The 18,710-nt window shown below is 47.3% G+C and overlaps 1 long non-coding RNA gene across 1 annotated transcript in view; it reads left to right on the forward strand.

Moving 5' to 3' along the window:
• Positions 1 to 18,710, forward strand: part of LOC105373182 (uncharacterized) — an 82,002-nt gene that overhangs the window by 43,680 nt on the left and 19,612 nt on the right. The gene's annotated exons all lie outside the window — the stretch shown is intronic.

Below are 18,710 nucleotides of genomic sequence, written 5' to 3' on the forward strand. Positions count from 1 at the left end.
TTTTTTTTTTTTAAGAGACAGGGCCGGACCTGAATTCCTGGGCTCAAGCAATCCACCTGCCTCAGCCTCTCAAGTAGCTGGGACTACAGACGCATGCCACCCGCCTGGCCTCTTTTGAATATTTTGTTTCTATGGGAAGCAGAGAAGTGGGCAGTGGCTGCAGGAGGAAGTGGGCTCAAGGGAAAGTTTTTTAAGACAGGAGAAATCAGAAACGTTCTTATGCTAATGAGAGTGATGTAGTGAAGAGGGAATATTTAACAGCGCAGGAAAGGAGAGAATTGAGGGAGCTGTCCTTGCGTGGATGAGAGGGGATGGTGTTGGTTTGAGCTAAGAGCAGGGGACAGTTCATCCCAAGTGGCAAGTGGGAAGGCAGATTGGTGGGTACATATGGTGGCAGAGGCTGCCAAAGTCCTTTTTCTTTTCTTTTCTTTCTTCTTTTTTTTTTTTTTTTGAGACGGAGTCTCGCTCTGTTGCCCAGGCTGGAGTGCAGCGGCGCATCTCGGCTCACTGCAAGCTCCGCCTCCCGGGTTCACGCCATTCTCCTGCCTCAGCCTCCAGAGTAGCTGGGACTACAGGCGCCCGCCACCACGCCCACCTAATTTTTTGTATTTTTAGTAGAGACTGGGTTTCACCGTGTTAGCCAGGATGGTCTCGATTTCCTGACCTTGTGATCAGCCCGCCTCGGCCTCCCAAAGTGCTGGTATTACAGGCGTGAGCCACCGCTCCCGGCAAAGTCCTTTTTCGATGGTTTCAGTTTGCTGGACAAGCCAGGAACAAGGCCATTGGTTGCAAGGGAGGAGGAGCTCTTGTAGGTGGCAGCGCACGGAGGAGGTGGGAAGTTGTCACCTAGGAGAGTGGAAGGGGGAATGGACTGGGGATATGTAAGATGATGGCTGGATGGCATTTAGGGTGCAAATGAAGGTCCTGGTCAGATTCATTTACCCATGGATAGACCCGGCTCCCTCTTGGATTAATTCCCGCTTCCCCAGAAGCCCTTAACTGCATCAACAAAGGTAAATGGCAAGTCCTCAGTACTTTGCCCTCTCCTAGCAGGAGTCAAGAGGGGGCTGCGAGCCTGGGACAAAAATCACACCCCCGCCCCAAGCCTTCTACCTGACCCCTTTCATCAGGGATCAAGAGGGGCCATTAAGGATTAAACATTTACTGGGCAACCACTAGAAGCCAGGTAATAGCACTAATACCTACTATTTACTTACCATATGCACGATGCTGAGTACTTTACATTTATTGTCTAGTTTAACCCTTTTAATAACTCCATGAGCAAAGTACTATTAATTGACCCATTTTACAGATGAGAAAATGGAGTCTCAGAAGATTTAAACCCTTGTTTATAAATTCCAGAATCTAAACCCTTAAGACCTGGTGGATGACCTGAATATAAAATCCAGATCCAGTCCCAGACCTCAGGCATACAAACAGATTATTGAACTGCACTTTGCACATTTATTCTTTTGCCCTGGTCTCCCCAGTCCTCTTTCTACTTTTGATAAATGCAGACCCCACCCTCTCCCAGACCCCACCCTCTTCCTTTCCCTTTAGCTAAGCTAAGGTAACCAAAAGGCCAAGTTTGCCCAGGACTGATGGGTTTCCTGGGACTAGAGACTTTCGATGCTAAAGTTGAGACCATACCAGACAAAAGACCATTTCGTCTCCCTAGCTGCAGCTTACGCCTGAGTTGCTCCCCTCTCTCTCCCTCTTTCCCTTCTTCTTCAGTGTTTTTGTTTGTTTGTTTGTTTTTGAGACAGGTGACAGACTCGCTCTGTCGGCCAGGCTGGAGTGCAGTGGCGCCATCTCAGTTTACTACAACCTCCACCGCCTGTGTTCAAGCAGTTCTCCTTGTCTCTGCCTCCCAAGTAACTGGGACTATAGGCACCTGCCACCACGCCCTGGTAATTTTTGTATTTTTAGTAGAGATGGGATTTTGCTATGTTGGCCAGGCAGGTCTCGAACTCCTGGCCTCAAGTGATCCACCCACCTCAGCCTCTCAAAGTGCTGGGATTACAGGCGTGAGCCACCGCCCCCAGCCTTTCAGTGTTTTTGCTTCTCATTTCAGGCATGGCATTTCTTTTACCTCCACTGCCTCCTTGGGGGCCACGAATACTTCCTGGGTACCTTCTGGGAACCCAGCACCCTGGTTGGAACAGACTAGAAGTTGCAGCAAGAGTTTGGGAAGGGCATTTCTTTTTTAAAAAAAATTTTGGGGCTGGCACGGTGGCTCACGCCTGTAATCTCAGCCTTTGGGAGGCAGAGGTGGGTGGATCGCCTGAGGTCAGTAGTTCGAGACCAGCCTGGCCAACATGGTGAAATCCCATCTCTACTAAAAATGCAAAAATTAGCCAGGCGTGGTGGTGGGTGCCTGTAATCCCAGCTACTTGTGAGACTGAGGTGGGAGAATTGCTTGAACCTGGGAGGCAGAGGCTGTACTGAGCCGAGATTGTGCCACTGCACTCCAGCCTGGGCGACAGAGCGAGACTCCATCTAAAAAAAAAAAAAAAATTAACTCCTGTTTTAGATTCAAGGGGTACATGTGCAGGTTTGTTACATGAATATATTGCAGGATGTTGAGGTTTGGGGCATGATTGATCCTATCACTCAGGGTGGTGAGCATAGTACTCAATGGGTAGTTTTTCAGTCCTTTTCTCTCTTCCTCCCTTCTGCCCTGATGTCTATCGTTCTCTTCTTTATGTCCATGTGTACCCAATGCTTAGCTTCCACTTATAAGTGAGAACATGTAGTATTTAGTTTTCTCTTTCTGCGTTAATTCACTTAGGATAATGGCCTCCAGATGCATCCAGGTTGCTGCAAAGGACATGATTTCATTCTTTTTTATGGCTGCATAATATTCCATGGTGTATATTTACCACATTTTCTTTATCTAGTCCACCATTGATGGGCACCTAGGTTGATTCCATGTCTTTACTATTATAGATAGTACTGTGATGAATATACAAGTGTATGTGTCTTTTTGGTAGAATGATTTATTTTCCTTTGAATATATACCCAGTAATAAGATTTCTGGGTTGAATGGTAATTCTATTTTTAGATCTTTGAGAAATCTCCAAACTGCTTTCCACAGTGGTCGAACTAATTTACATTCCCACCAACAGTGTATAAACATTCTCTTTTCTCCACAGCCTCACCAATATCTGTTATTTTTTGACTTTTTGACTTTTTAATAATAGCCATTCTGACTGGTGTGAGATGATACTAATTGTGGTTTTGATTTGTATTTCTCTGATGCTTAGTGATGTGGAGCATTTTTTCATATGTTTGTTGGTTACTTGTATGTCTTCTTTTGAGAAGTATCTGCTCATGTTCTTTGCCCACTTTTTTAAAATGGAGTTTTGTTTTTTGCTTGTTGAATTGTTTAAGTTCCTTATAAATTCTGGATATTAGACCTGTCAGATGCATAGTTTGCAAATATTTTCTCCCATTTTGTAGCTTGTCTGTTTACTCTGTTGATAGTTTATTTTGCCGTGCAGAAGCTTTGTAATTTAATTAGGTCTCACTTGTCAATTTTTGCTTTTGTTGCAATTGCTTTTGAGGGCTTAGTTATAAATTCTTTTCCAAGGCCGATGTCCAAAAGGGTATTGCCTAGATTTTCTTCTAGGATTTTTATAGTTTAAGGTTTTACATTTAAGTCTTTAATCCATCTTGAGTTAATTTTTGTATATGGTGATAGGTAGGGATTCAGTTTTAATCTTCTGCATATAGCTAGCCAGTAATCCCAGCGCCATTTATTGAATAGGGAGTCCTTTCTCCATTGCTTATTTTTGTTGACTTTGTCAAAGATAGTTGGTTTTAGGTGTGTGGTTTTATTTCTAGGTTATCTATTCAGTTTCATTGGCCTATGTGTCTATGTACCAGTACCATACTGTTTTGGTTACTGTAGCCTTGTAGTGTAGTTTGAAGTTGAGTAATGTGATGGAACAGGGCATTTCTTGAACAGGGCTTAGTACTTTGGGTGCTCATAGTTGACCTGAACATCATTCCCAAGTGGACACATTATTCACATAAACAGTGAGGATATTCTGGACTTGACTGACACCTGGGGAGAAAGAAAAGGACAATTCCTCAAGCAGGTTCCCCTTCAATTCCTTCTTTCCTTCCTTCCTTCCTTCAATACTTATTGAGGGCCAATGATGCTCTAGATTCTTTTCTAGGCAGCAGTGAGTAAGCCAGATAGAATCCTTGCCATCATGGGACTTACATTCCCTGGTCCTTCTGTCTCCTTGAGGAAACATCTTGAGATAGGTGATCAAGTCTTCCCTGTATTTCAATTCCCAGCACCTTGCATGGGATCTGTTACATAGATGTTCAATAAAGGTCGACAGAATGGCTGTTTGAATGAGGGCATGAATAGATAAATAAGTGATGTTAATGCCTTAAGTTCCATCCTGAGAGGTCCACTAACTTTGATAAAGGCTTCCCATGTTGAAGGCAGGTATCACTGAGAGGAATAGTGGCCAACTGTGCTTAGTGCAAAATTGACAGCTGATGGAAGAGTTTGGGTCTTCAAGGGGCTGCAATGGAATGCCAAAGCAAAGGGGATATATTAGGCCGTTCTCACATTGCTATAAAGAAATGCCTGAGACTGGGTAATTTATAAAGAAAAGAGGTGTAATTTTCTCATGGTTCTGCAGGCTGTACAGGAAGCATAGTGGCTTCTGCTTCTGGGGAGGCCTCAGGAAGCTTCCAATCATGGTGGAAGGCAAAGGGGGAGCGAGACGTCTCACAGAGCCAGAGCAGGAGAAAGTGGATAGGGGAGATGCTCACACTTTTAAACAATCAGATCTCCTGAGAACTCCCTGACTACCACGAGAACGAGAACGGCACCAAGGGGGATGGTGCTAAACCATTCATGAGAAATCCACCCCCATGATCCAACCATCTCCCACCAGGCCCCACCTCCAACATTGCGGGTTACAACTGAAGTTGAGATTTGGGTGGGGATACAGATTCAAATTATATCAGGGGACTTTAGGGGACCCAGGCCTGCATGTGGTCCTGAATAATTAGGAGACAACAGAAGGCATTGAGCAGCTGGGGAGAGAAACCCTGGAGGAATGTCAGGCACAAACAAAGCCACCCACAGCCACCCTTGTTGCACTGCTTTCCTGGCCCTGGAGGAGGCAGGGCTGGGAGGAAAGTGCTGGCAGGGGAAAGAATGCAGGATGTCCCTCAGAACAAATCCTGATCCCTACACTGAACAAACTGCACCCGGGAAAGAACAGGGGCTCTGGAGCTGACCTATTGGCTTCAAATCCAGCTCCGTCACCAACTGTGCTACCTTGAGCAAGTCACTTAGCTCCTCTGTGTCCCACTTTCCCCACTCCTTAAATGAGGTAATGATGCTGATCTCAGAGGGTTTTTCTAAGGATCATCTAGGCTAAGTGATGTTAAAGGAAAAAAATACCTAATCTAAAAAGATTGATCATAAAAGTAGAGAGTATAATGGTGGTTATCAGAGGGTGGGGTGCTTAGCAGGGATGGGGAGAGGTTGGTCAGAGGATATATACTTAACAGTTAAGAGGAAGAAATGTCAAAAGATCTATCATACAGTAAAGTGACTATAGTTAATGACGATGTACAGATGCTTCTTGCGTGCTTTTGACTTGTGACATTTTCATTGGGACATAACCCCAGTATAAGTTGAGTAGTAAGTTGAGGAGTGTAATGACTGTGTATCACTTTCACTCCACTGTAAAGTCAAAAAGTTGTAAATCGAACCATTGTAAGTCAGGACCGTCTGTACTGTTCTTGAAAAATGTAAAGAGAGTGAATATTACGGGCTGTTACCAGAAAGTGGTAACTGCAAAGTAATGCATTTGTTAATTGACTTGATTTGGCCATTCTACAACGTATGTATTCTTCAAGACATCATGTTGTACATGATGAAAACATATTATCTGCCAATTAAAAAAATACATAAAACAAATTTAATGACACCTTGTTAAAGCACGCTAAGCCAGACTTTATTCAGGATCATCGAGATAGGTATAGGGAACACTACAATGGGATTTTGCAGTAGAGGAAAGAGATTGGGCTCATCCCCAAATACAGCATGGGCAAGTGAGAATTTACAGTTAAGGGGCAGGGTGAGGTCAGTGGATGGAAAATTACTAAGAAAGAACATCGTGGTACCCATTCTGCCTAAACCAACCTGACAGGACTCTTGCTGAAGGCTGGCCAGGGTGATCAGATATCACTCTGGGATGGTGGAGGGTGAGGAACTGATCAGATATTGAGAGTAGGGGGTTCTTACTAATATGAGTTTTTACAAGGATGGGCACAGATGGACCTAGAAGAAGGTTGGGGAGCCTAACTAACATTTGGTCCAACAAAAAATCTTTGTCAGTGGTTCTCAGTGTGGTCTTCAGACGATGAGCAGCATCACCTGCGAACTCATTAGAAATACAAATTCTCAGGCCCCACCTCAGACTTGCTGAATCAGAGAACCGGGGCTTTAACAAGCACTCTAGGGGATTCTGATGCTTGCTGAAGTTTGAGAAACATTGTGCTATGTCAGCATAGTAACAAACCCTTTGTAAGTGAGAAATTCTTTTTCTCTGCCCTGATGACAGAATTAGGGGACTGGGTCCCAGGACTGCTCTCCGGGTGCACAGCAGAGTCACCTAGGGAGCTTCAAAATCTCCGGAAGCCCAGGTCTCTTCCCAGACCAATTATTTCAGAATCCTGGGAGATGGGGAGGGATGCAGACATCAGTAGTTTTTCAAGGTTCCCAGGTGATTCCCCAGCCTCTTGCATTGGAGCTCCCTGGAGGGCTTGTTAAAGCAAAGAGTACCAGGGCCCAGCCTGGAGCAGCTGATTCTGCAGGTCTGGGGTGGGGCCCAAGAATGTGCATTTCTAACAAGCTCCCAGATGATGCTGAGCCCGGTCTGTGGACCACACTGTGAGAACCACTGTTGTAGGGGGATTTGATCAGAAAGGAGGTGTGTGGGAGTGAGGAGGTTGGGGAGAAACCACTGCTTCCTCCACCTACCCTTCTCTCTCCGCCTTGAATTAAGCATGGGATAACTGGGTGTGAACTTTGCTTACACATTCATTGTTTTTATTACTCTCTGCCTGCACAGGAGGGATGAGATCATTTGACATTTGTGGAGAAGCTAAGTGGTGGCATGGACCTCCCTCAGAGAGAGCAGGGATTATCTTCCCCAGGAAAATAAATCAAGGGGAGCCACCTGGATTAGGATCCCTTGGGTGGCGTGTGGGACAACCTTGGGGATCCCTCACCGCCACCCCGGCCCTGGCCCTGGCCGCCTTGCCAGTGTTTTCCTAGAAGATGCTTTCTTTTATGATTTTATTTCACTTCCTCTGGATCCCAATCTCCCCTAGTGTGGAGGGGGAGAGGGAACCAGGAGATAGGGGATATTTTCTGTGGGGTTTTCTTTTATTTTTAAGTTTTTTGGTTTTGTTTTTATACAGGTAGGGTCTGTGTTGCCCAGGCTGGTCTTGAACTCCTGGCCTCAAATGATCCTCCCACCTCAGCCTCCCAAAGTGCTAGGATTGCAGGCATGAGCCACCACATGCAACCTTCTATGAGGTTTTCAGTTGCTCTGAATTCATTCATTCATTCAACATTCATTTCATTCAACAAACATTCATGCCAGCTCTAGGGGCACAGAGAGTTTTGTCTGTTTTGTTTGCTGCTATATGCCTGGTGCCTGGCATATAGTAGGTGTTCAATAAATATTTGCTCAGTGACAGAGGACCAGTTATGGGCTACTCCTTCCATTGGGCAAGGAAGATTCAGCCCCTGCCATCAAGAGCCAGGGGAGAAAGACACTAAATCCTCAACGACAGCCCCTGTGACAGGCCTGATCACAGCCAGGGGTCTAGGACCGTTTGTCAGTGGCCCCATCCCAGGCTTGGGGCAGGGGAGTGGGGAGGGGGCCAGGAAAGGGTTCCCAGTGGGAGTGTGTTTCAGCCAAGGCTTGGAAGATGAGCACGAGGCAGCCAGGAAAGGACGGGAGAAAGATGCTCCAGGCTGAGCCTCAGACACTGCTGTGTGCAGTGCAATGGACTTGCTCGTGTTCTGGATGAAATCAAGCACTACCTGTGTAAATTAAGCTCCCGGTTGTCCTGCCTTCCTGATCACATCCTCCTTCCCTACTTCAGAGGTAACCACTGGATGAAATCTGCTGTTCCTAATTTCTATACATGTCTTCCCATTTTCATGACATAGCTGTGCATCACTGTGTAAAACGTAGTGGTGTGTGTGTTTAGGCATCTTGACCTCCCTGTTGATCTCGCCGAATTTCTTCTGCTGCTCTCTTAGCTTTGCAGTGTATCTGCTTGTGAGACTCCTCTGTGGGCATGTGGGTCTCTACCACATGTGTTTTTGCTGCTGTTTGGATTGCACTAGGGGATGGCACCACAATGAATGGACCTATTCTCTGCTAACCTTGTCCCATGGGCATCTCACTGGATCCTCAGAATAACCCCACGAGGGAAGTGCTGGTATTAACCCACTTTACAGATGAGGAATCCGAAGTGTAGTTCAAGCAAAGTTGGTAACTGGAGATGGGGCTGACTCCCACCTGGCCCTGGAAACGCCTCCTGCCATGTCCTTTCCATGTTACCTTGGTTCTCCACTCCCGCTTTGGGGAATTTGGGCTCCACTCCACATCCCCTTTCCCCCTCCTTGGTGGCTGTGGGGCCTCTCCCCGTCCCCTGCCCCAGAAGGCAGTGCTTAAAAGGCAAGAGTGAGGCGCTTTCTTATCCTGGGCAGCACCCTTGGGGGAGGCAGGCCTTCAGGGAGCTGCCTGTAACCCCAGTTTGCCCAAGGATGGAGCCCTGGAGCCCTGGACCTCAGTTGCCAGATCCCCTGTGCTGCTCTCAGCAGAGCCTTCCAAGAAGGCCCTTCTGCTCAAAGGGCCTGGGGGCCCCCAACTGGCAGGAGCAACCAGAAGCAGGAAGGTGGACTTGCCGGGGGGCCTGGCCCTGCCTCCTGCTATGTGACCTTGGGCAAGTCACTTCCTCTCTGGACCTCAACCTTCTCATCTGAAAATGGGGGCTCTGCTTTCATGTCTAAGGTTCATATTTAAGGTCCCTTCCAGCTCTAAAAAAACTTCTTTGCATCCTGGGCCACTACCGAGATGGAAGAAGAGATTCTGGAGTGTGCTCACAGGGTTTGGAGGTGAGGGGCTCCCGCTGGGGTAGCTTTGCTCCTTGTTGTTAAAGTAACTGAATGAATCTTCCTAAGAGGAAGATAATTTCTTTTTCTTTTCTTTTCTTTTTTTTTTTTTGAGACAGGGTCTCATTCTGTCACACAGGCTGGAGTGCAGTGGCATGATCTCAGCTCACTGCAACTTCTGCCTCCTGGGTTCAAGCAATTCTCCTGCCTCAGCCTCCCGAGTAGCTAGGACTACAGACGCATGCCACCACGCCCAGCTAATTTTTGTATTTTTAGTAGAGACAGAGTTTCACCAAGTTGGCCAGGCTGGTCTCAGACACCTGACCTCAATTGATCCACTCGCCTCCGCCTCCCAAAAGTGCTGGGATTACAGGTGTGAGCCACTGTGCCCGGCCAGAAGATAATTTCCTTGTCTTTTTGGATTGTCATCTTCCAGGGGAGATCCAGGGCAGGGAATCCGTGAACCAGGGTGGCCTGCCACGCTGCCTAGCTGGGAACTCTTGTACTCCCATCTTGATGAATCAATGGAACTCGTTACTTTAATCACAATGAGAGGTGATAGCCCTGTGAACAAGGGATATCCAGGCTGACAAATGGAACCTGCAGCCAAAACAGGTGAAACCCAGGCCCGTCCCAACCACTGTGCCTCAGGTGAGCCTGGAGGGTGTGGCATGAAGGAGGGAGCTGGGCGCTGCTGCTCAGGGCATGGGCAAAGCTGTTTGCCTTATGGGAAGGGGCTGGCAGGAAGCCCTCCTTCCCACCTCAGGGGCTGGCTTCCCGGCTATTGTGGGAGTGTCTGAGGTAGTGACTGAAGCTCTGAGACCCAGCACCTCCACACTGACTCAGCCGTCTTGCCTCTTGGAGAAGTTCTTTCCCTATTCCAACTATCCTAAAGTGGCCCTTCTACAACCGGGCTGTGTTCCTGTCACACAAAAAGTCCTTTGTGAACAGAAATGGTCAAAAGGCTTTGCCTTCCATTTAAGGCCTTGTCCGGGCCAGGCATGGTGGCACTTTGGGAGGCTGTCGCAGGGGAATCACTTGAGCCCAGGAGTTCCAGACCAGCCTGGGCAATGTGGTGAGATCCCATCTGTACAAAAAAATACAAAAATTAGCCTGGTGTGGTGGTGTGTGCCTGTGGTCCCAGTTATTTGGGAGACAGGAGGATGGCTTGAGCCAGAGAGGTTGGGGCTGCAGTGAGCTGAGATCACGCCACTGTACTCCAGCCTGGGCGACAGAGCGAGACCCTGTAAAAGGCCTTGTCCAATCCAGCTACCCCACATTTCCAGACTTACCTTTCCTGGCCCCACCCTCCCGTGTGTAGTGACATTTGCTGTAGCCACCCCAGCTCCCACCCCCTGCACTCACTTCCCACGTTGGGACATGGCCTTGCCAAAGTCTCCACCACACAGGAAAAGCTTTCCTGACCTCCCCTCACCTGTGTTGTCTTGGATGCTGTTCCTGACTAGCTTAAAATCCCATTATGTACCTTCAGCCCCTTTGTGCAACTTCCTGGCACATGGCTTCCAGTTGCGATAACTGCCGGCCTCTTCTCCTTCACTATCATCTGATGGCAATAAGCCACCTAGACCCTTTTCACTGCTGAGTCCCAGCACAGTGCCTGGCATGCAGCAGATGTCCAGTAAATATCTGATGAATGGGCAGATTTTTCCTGTACAAGAACTTTCAGGAGTGGGGATTACCATTACTGTTTTACTGATGAAGAAACAGAAGCTTAGAGAGTTAATTGCTCAGGGTCAGATAGACAAAGGGGGCCCACCAGGGCCCTGTTAAATAACCTCACCTCTCCAGAGACTCACTAGAAAGTGCTCTCAACAGTCCCCATGGTAGCCTTTGTCAATGGGTGGCAATAGCCCTTGGATGGGTAGCATTTGCCAGTGTAGGTGGGTGACATTTGGTGGATTTTGAAATGTGTATGTATGTGTTTAGGTATGGATGTGTACGTGTGTACATTTGTGTAGGTGTATATTTGTATGTATGCCTGCATATTTGTGTGTAGGTGTGTATATGTGTGCATGTGTATATGCATATGTGTATATGTGCATATGTATATTTGTGTGCATGTGCGTATCTGTGTATGTGTCGATGTGCATGTGTATATATATGTATATCTGTGTATGTGTATTCATGTTTGTGTGTGTATATGTTTGTATGTGTGCATATGTGTGTGTGTACGTGTGTATATTTATATGTGTGTATGTGCATGTGTGGTGTGTGTATGTGTGTGTACACGTGTATTTTTACATGTGTAGAGGTGTGTATGGGTATGTGTGTGTGCATGTGTGCATGTGTGTGTGTATGCATGTGTATTTATACATGTGTGTATGTGCATGTGTATAGGTGTGTATGGGTATATGTGTATGTGCATGTGTGTGTACACATGTGTATTTGTACATGTGTGTATGTGCGTGTATATAGGTATGTAGATGTATATGTGTGTGTGTGTTTGTGTGTGTATGTGTGCGTATTTCCTTCTAAGAGTTTTCCCCCTTCCCCTTCCTTCCCTTCACTACTTCATGGACTTTGAGGATCATGACTAAGAGTTTGTTTCCCCAAACTTAAGGTGATTAAAGACATTCTCTCAGTTCCTGGAGAGAAGTTTCCAAATAAGCCAGTGCGGGAGTGAAGCACCAAGGAGAGGCAGACAGGAGAGGGAGGCCCCCCCAAGTGCTCTGGGCTAGGAAAGCTGGGTCCTTGAAGGAGACGTGGGGGGAGCCTGTGTATCTAGGAGCTAGAGGGACAGGGCCTCTGTGATGGTCAATTGCATGTGTCAACTTGGCTGGGCCATGGGGCACCAAGATATTTGAACAAACATTATTCTTGGTGTTTCTGTGGGGGTGTTTTAGGATGGGATTAACATTTAAATTGATCCACTTTAAGTAAAGCAGATGGCTCTCCCTCATGTGGGTGGGCCTCATCCAATCAGTTGAAGACCTGAATTGAACAAAAAACCTGGCCTCTCCCAAGCAAGAGAGAATTCTCCACCAGACTACCTTTGGGCTTCATCTGAAACATTAGCTCTTCCTGGCCCTGCAGCAAATGTCATGAGATTGGAACTGCAGCATTGGCTCTTCCTGGGTCTCCACCTGCTAGCCCACCCTGCAGATTTTGGACTTGCCAGCTTTCATAATCCCATAAGCCAATTCCTTATCATAAATATCTTTCTCTCCCTTTTTATTTTATTTTATTTTATTTTATTTTTTTTGAGACAGAGTCTCAGTCTGTCACCCAGGCTGGAGTGCAGCCGTGCAATCTTGGCTCACTGCAACCTTCTCCTCCAAGGTTCAAGCAATTCTCGTGCCTCAGCCTCATGAGTAGCTGGGATTACAGGCGCCTGGCACTACGCCTGGATAATTTTTGTATTTTTAGTAGAGACGGGGTTTCACCATGTTGGGCAGGCTGGTCTTGAACTCCTGACCTCAAATGATCCACCCACCTTGGCCTCCCAAAGTGCTGGGATTATAGGTGTGAGCCACCGCACCCAGGCATGAATCTCTTTCTCTATCTAGACACATCCTATTGGTTCTGTCTCTGTGAAGAACCCTAACTAATACTGCTGGCTTCCTGCCAGAGTCTAGGATGGCTCCAGGGTCCATGCCCTAGGGTGGGAGAGAAGCCTCGTACCTAGTGTACCAGGATGAGACCCAAGACCTTGCCTCAAATCACAGTTTCTTGGGGCCTTAGAACTGGAGCTTCCCTGGTCAAACTGAGAAGCTGGTCATCCTGTTTGAGCCATCTGTTTTGCTATGTCACCTGCCAGCTTGGCCCTCAGACTCCAGAGCCTGGAGACAGTTGGAGCCTTGTGTTCTGCCCAACCTGCTAGGCCCAGATCTCAGCAGGAGGCTCTGCTGTTCCCTGCACCCTGGTTGCACGGTGACTTTCCTCCTGCTTTTGAAGGCATGGAAGGGCATTCTCTTTGGACATCCAGGGGGCCCAGATACCCTCTGTCTTAGTCTACTAGGACAGCCATAAGAAAATACCACAGGCTGGGTGGCTTAAACAACAGAAAATTCATTTCTCACAGTTCTGAAGCTGGAAGTTCAAGATCAAGGTGCCAGCAGGTCAGGTTTTGATGAGGGCTGTCTTCCTGGCTTGTAGATGAATACCTTCTTGTTGTATCATCACATGATGGGGAGAGAGAGACAGCAAGCTCTCTGGTGTCTCTTCTTACAATGTCACGAATCCCTTTAAATAGGAGTCCACCTTTGCAACCCTTTCTAACCTTAATTACTTCCTTATAGGTCCTGTCTTCAAATACAGTGACACTGAGGGTTAGGGCTTCAACATATGACTTTTTGTGGGAGGTACAATTCATTTCCTAGCAGCCTTGCAAATGAATTCCACTCCTCAAAGGCTACTGTCTACTTACTAATAGGGGTGGGCACCCCAGGCTCTTGCCTGGAGAAAGGGACATGTGTTGAAGGGTGATCTGGGTACTTTATTCTAAAACCACTTGTAAATCACCAGTGAGCCCAATCTGTTACACATCCTGCCCCACTAATTGTCCTATTCAGTGACACTCCCAGGACCCACTAGGATGGCAGGTAGATCAGTGGGTGCACAGTGAATGCTGTGAGGGCCAGATGCAGGATTGGGGTTGGGATTGGGCCTAGGGCAAGGGGGGTTTAGTGAAGAGACTCAAGGTTCACTCTAACCCAAGTGGGGAGCAGAACTCCGTGTATGTGTGTGTGTCTGTGCGCGCGCACGCACACAGACACACACGCACGCATGAAGACTCAAGAGACGTCACCCATCATCTAACCCTATCCCTTCACTTCACAGATGAGGATATCCAGGTGCAGCAAGTGGAGGGGGTGCCCACAAAGGAGACATGTTGCTTCAGCACACAAGTCACAGAGTAAGCACACAGTAGGCAGCAATAGATAACTATAGCAGTGTGTGTGTGTGTGTGTGTGTGTGTGTGTACACGCATGTGTGTGGGACAGAGAGAGACAGACACAGAGTGTGTATTTGTGGTGGAAAAGTGTGTGCTACCTGTGTGCAGACTATTTAAAAGGATTTTACAGATGGATCTTTCATCCAAAGGGCATTTTTCTTCTCAAGTTTTCTGCCTGCTGGCTAAAACTTCTGGATAGAGTTGCCAGATAAAATGCAGGATGCTCAGTTCAGCTGGAACTTCAGTGAAACAACAAATAATATTTTCACATACTGATGTACTTAACATCAGTATAAGTATATCCTGTGCAGTATTTGGGGGTATACTTGTACTAAAAAATTACTCATTGTTTATCTGAAATTCAAATTGAACTGGCACCCTGTATATTTATATGCTAAATCTTGGAGCCCTACTTTTGAAGGGTGGCCAGGTAGCACATGGGGATGCAAATCAGGGAGTATTAATAGATAACCAGGCCAGCACTGCGGGTTCAGCAAGTAGGCAAGCAAACCCCAGGTTGTAGGAGGAGCAGCTGCTGCCTCCAGAGACCCTTGGGAAGGAAGCAGGCATTGCTCAGCTCACACCTACACTGGTGGCTACTGCCCCCAACACCTTGCTCATTTCAGGGGCTTCGATGCACAGATAACTTTTCCCATATGAGCCTTTAGGAAGGGCTAACCTTGCCTGGCCTTTCGCTGACCCATGGCTTAGGGCAGGGCAGGCTGTTTGGGAACCTCTGTTCAGCACTGGGGTTTGTAGACACCCTATGTAGTTTCATGGAGGGGTAAAGGAAGTGTCAAAGCTGAGGGGTTTTTGGTGACCTCTGCTCATTCTACCTTTCAGGTAGACCTATAACAAGGGTAAGTCAAGGGCAAGTCCTCCTTGGACTAAAGGTCATAGGGGTGTGGCCTCTAAGGGGGAAGCAGATTGTAGGAGAAAGAAGAAGCTCAGCCTTTTGTTAGTGAGTTGGGATAGTGACTTTGCTTCTCTGAATCTTAACCTGCCCTTCTTTGGAAGGGGTTATACAAATATTTTCCTAGTATAATAGTTGTAAGAGTTCAGTGGAAATGGTATATAAAAAGAACTTGGCCTAGTTACTGGACAAAGGAGCTAGGGGAAGGGGAGCCAGGCCCTCAATGGTTCCCAGTACTCACAAGGTGCCCTTTCTGGCAATGTGTTTCCATTGGCTCTGAGTGTAGGACTAAGGTGGACAATATCTCAGTGGAATCTCCAGAAATAAGCCATCCAAGACTGTTTCAGAAGCCTCTAGTTCACTGAGGCCGGGCACGGTGGCTCACGCCTGTAATCCCAGCACTTTGGGAGGCTGAGGCGGGCAGATCGCCTGAGGTCAGGAGTTCGAGACCAGCCTGGCCAACATGGTGAAATCCCGTCTCTACTAAAAATATAAAAATTATCCAGGTGTTGCAGTGGGCGCCTGAGGCACAAGAATCGCTTGAATCCAGGAGGTGGAGGCTGCAGTGAGCCGTGATTGTGCCATTGCACTCCAGCCTGGGTGACAAGAGTGAGACTCCATCTCAAAAAAAAAAAAAGCCTCTAGTTCACTGAATACACAGTTATTTACTCATATGAGGGAGAACAGTCGATAGACTGCTCTCAAGGAACCCAGGCAAAAATAGGATCTACGAAAGAGAGAGAGAAAAAACCCTGCAGATAATCTGGGAACAGTGAGTCTTGCACTTTTGCACTTTTTTTGGGTGAAATGATTCAGTGGCAGCTGGCAGGGAGGCCAGTTTGGGTCATCTGCCTTCAAGCAGACCAAGTAGGGAAGCAAAGAAAATAATTTCAATAGTTTATGATTTCCCCTGAAAACCTTGAGAATGTAGCTGTCATGGTAGGTGGAGTTCTAAGAAGGCCCCAAGGATTCCCATCCCCTGATGTACACAGCCTGAATCATCCCCTCTTCTTGATTGTGAGTGGGATTTGAGAACATCATGGGATATCACTCCCATGATTATGTTACATGGCAGAAGGGATTTTGCCAATGTAATTAATGTCCCCAATCAGTTGACTTTGAGTGAATCAAAAGGGAGATTATCCTGGGTGGGCCTGACCTAATCAGGTGAGTCCTTAAAGTCAAAAAGGTAGAGCATCAGCAAGACTATCTTGCTGGCCTTGAGGAAGAAAGTAAACAGCCACATGTGAACTGCCTATGGAGGAGGCCACAGAACAAGGACCTGAGGGTGGCCTCTAGAAGTAGAGAGAGGTCCCCAGCGAACAGCTAGCAGTCCTACAACCCCAAGAAACTGAATTCTGCCAGCAACCAGTGAGCTTGGGAGAAGACTCCAAGCTCCCAAAAGGAAGACAGTGGGCAGACACTGTGATTGCAGCTTTTTGAGACCCTAGGCAGAAAACCTAGTTCTGCCTGGCTTGGACTTTGACCTACAGAAGCATAAATGTGTGTTGTTTTAAGCTGCTAAATTGTGGTAATGTATTACATAGCAATAGAAAAGGAAGGCAGCTGTGGTGTATTTTGAGAGACTCCAGGCTGTCTTTGTGTACCACCTACCAGCATCCTACCAGCACCTCCACTTTTTCTGTCCCATTTCCTCCATCAGAGTTTCACAATAGGCACTCAGAGAATTTTCTTTTTCTTTTCTTTCTTTTTCTTTCTTTTTTTTTTTTTTTTTTTTTTTGAGACAGAGTCTCATTCTGTTACCCAGGCTGGAGTGCAGTGGCATGGTCTCAGCTCACTGCAACCTCTGCCTTCTCGGTTCAAGCAATTCTTGTATCTCAGCCTCCCAAGAAGCTGGGATTACAGGTGTGTGCCACCACGCTCAGCTAATTTTTTTGTGTTTTTAGTAGAGACAGGGTTTTGCTATGTTGTCCAGGCTGGTCTTGAACTCCTGAGCTCAGGTGATCTGCCCGCCTCAGCCTCCCAAAGTGCTGGGATTACAGGCATGAGCCACCACGCCCAGCCTACTGAATTTTCATTGCTCCCTCCTTCCTCAAATTCTTATTTTCCAACAGATCATTCCTCCCATCCTGCAACTATATACAAGTCTCCCTGTTCTGAAGCAGTGTTCCTTTAACTCTTCTTGCTCAACCCAGATAGTGTCGTTTCTTGTTTCTTAGCAGTGTGAAATTTCTTGAGAGAGTAGCACTCACCTCCTCCTGCCCACTTACTGCATAGCTCACTGCAGCCAGCATGGCCTCCTTCTGATGACCATGTCTAATAGTCCCCATGCACTCTTCACCCTTCCAGAATAGATTGCTGTGGCCAACACTCATTACTTGCTCACCTAGCTTCCATTTGCCTTTCATCACAGCACCTAGAGTGTCCTTTGCAGATGCTTTTTCCCCATTGTCCAGCAACCATGTGATTTGGGAGACTTTGATTCTTGCCTCCCACACTGCCCTCCATGATGGGTTCAATTGGCCAAAGCCAGTCAGCATGATCCTATCTCTTTTACTGCAAGTGTTTGGTTCAAGGATGGGTGGGGAAAGATGAAAAGATACCAGGTCTTTGGTGATAGCATTAAACTTCTGGATCAAACTTGTCCTGAAGCCTCTTCTGATTATGCACTTTCTAGTTACATGAGCCAACCAATCTCTTCAAGGCTTATGCTAACATGAGTTGTCTTTTCTGTTCCATAAAGGGCCCTCACTGACACATCTTTATAGTGTTTGATACTATTGACTGCCTTCTGCATGAGTAATGGAAAACCCAAGTAATTGTGGCTTAAATGTGTTAGAGGTTTTTTGTTTGTTTGTTTATTTGTTTTTTCTCCTTGTAATGAGAATCCTGAGGGGAATTGGTTGCTAGTGTTGGAGTCATTTCAAGCAGCTCAAAGATGTCACAGCAATTCTCTCAGCTTTTCCCTCATGATCCCACGACGGCTTCTGCAGGTGGAGCCATCACTTCCGTAGTTAAGGCTGAGAGCGGAAGGAGAGGGCAGAAGAGGTCCCATTACAAGCTGGCTTCTACTAATGTCTCACTGGTCAGAGCTCTGTCCCATGGCTGCTCCTGGCTGCAAGGAAGTCTGAGAAGGCAAGGTTTTAGCTTTCCAGAGCCTGTAGCAGGGACTGGCTGGCTAGAAGGGAGTGAGAGTGTGAGGGAGCCGATCTGGAGTAGCTTGCTTAAGCCCCCAGGGCTCCTTCAGTGAGCCTTCCTCCTCCCTCTTCCTCCTCCTGCAGCTTCTCTGCCTGGCTCCCAGGCACCTTCTCTGGGCCCCCGCTATCCCGTGCAAGCCCATCTGCTGCTGGAAACCTCCAGATGTTTACTTTCAGGCCCCACCTCCCTCCTGTGCTGCCCACCTGTTTGCTCAGCTGTCTGCCAATCATCTCCACCTGCTGTCCCTCAGGTGCCGGCCCTGTACACCACTTTCCTAGAGTCACTGAGGATCCAAAGTCAACTCAGCTCCTGTGCTCAAACCACTCACCCCAGTCGGCCGCAATACTCACTATCTGGAAAGCTCAGATCATGCCCAGAGCTGGCGATGATGGAGTGAAGTGAAGGAGAGCTATGTCCAAGAACCTCCCAGCTGGAGGGGAGGCAAGGTGGGCATGGGGAGGGCTGCTGCCGCATCTGGAGGGAGAGCCCCGGAAGAAAGGCAGCACTGTCGCTGTGGACTCACTCCATGGCTGGTTTTCACGGAA

Source organism: Homo sapiens, chromosome X (genome assembly GCF_000001405.40).
Source record: "Homo sapiens chromosome X, GRCh38.p14 Primary Assembly".
NCBI classification, from domain to species: Eukaryota; Metazoa; Chordata; class Mammalia; order Primates; family Hominidae; genus Homo; species Homo sapiens.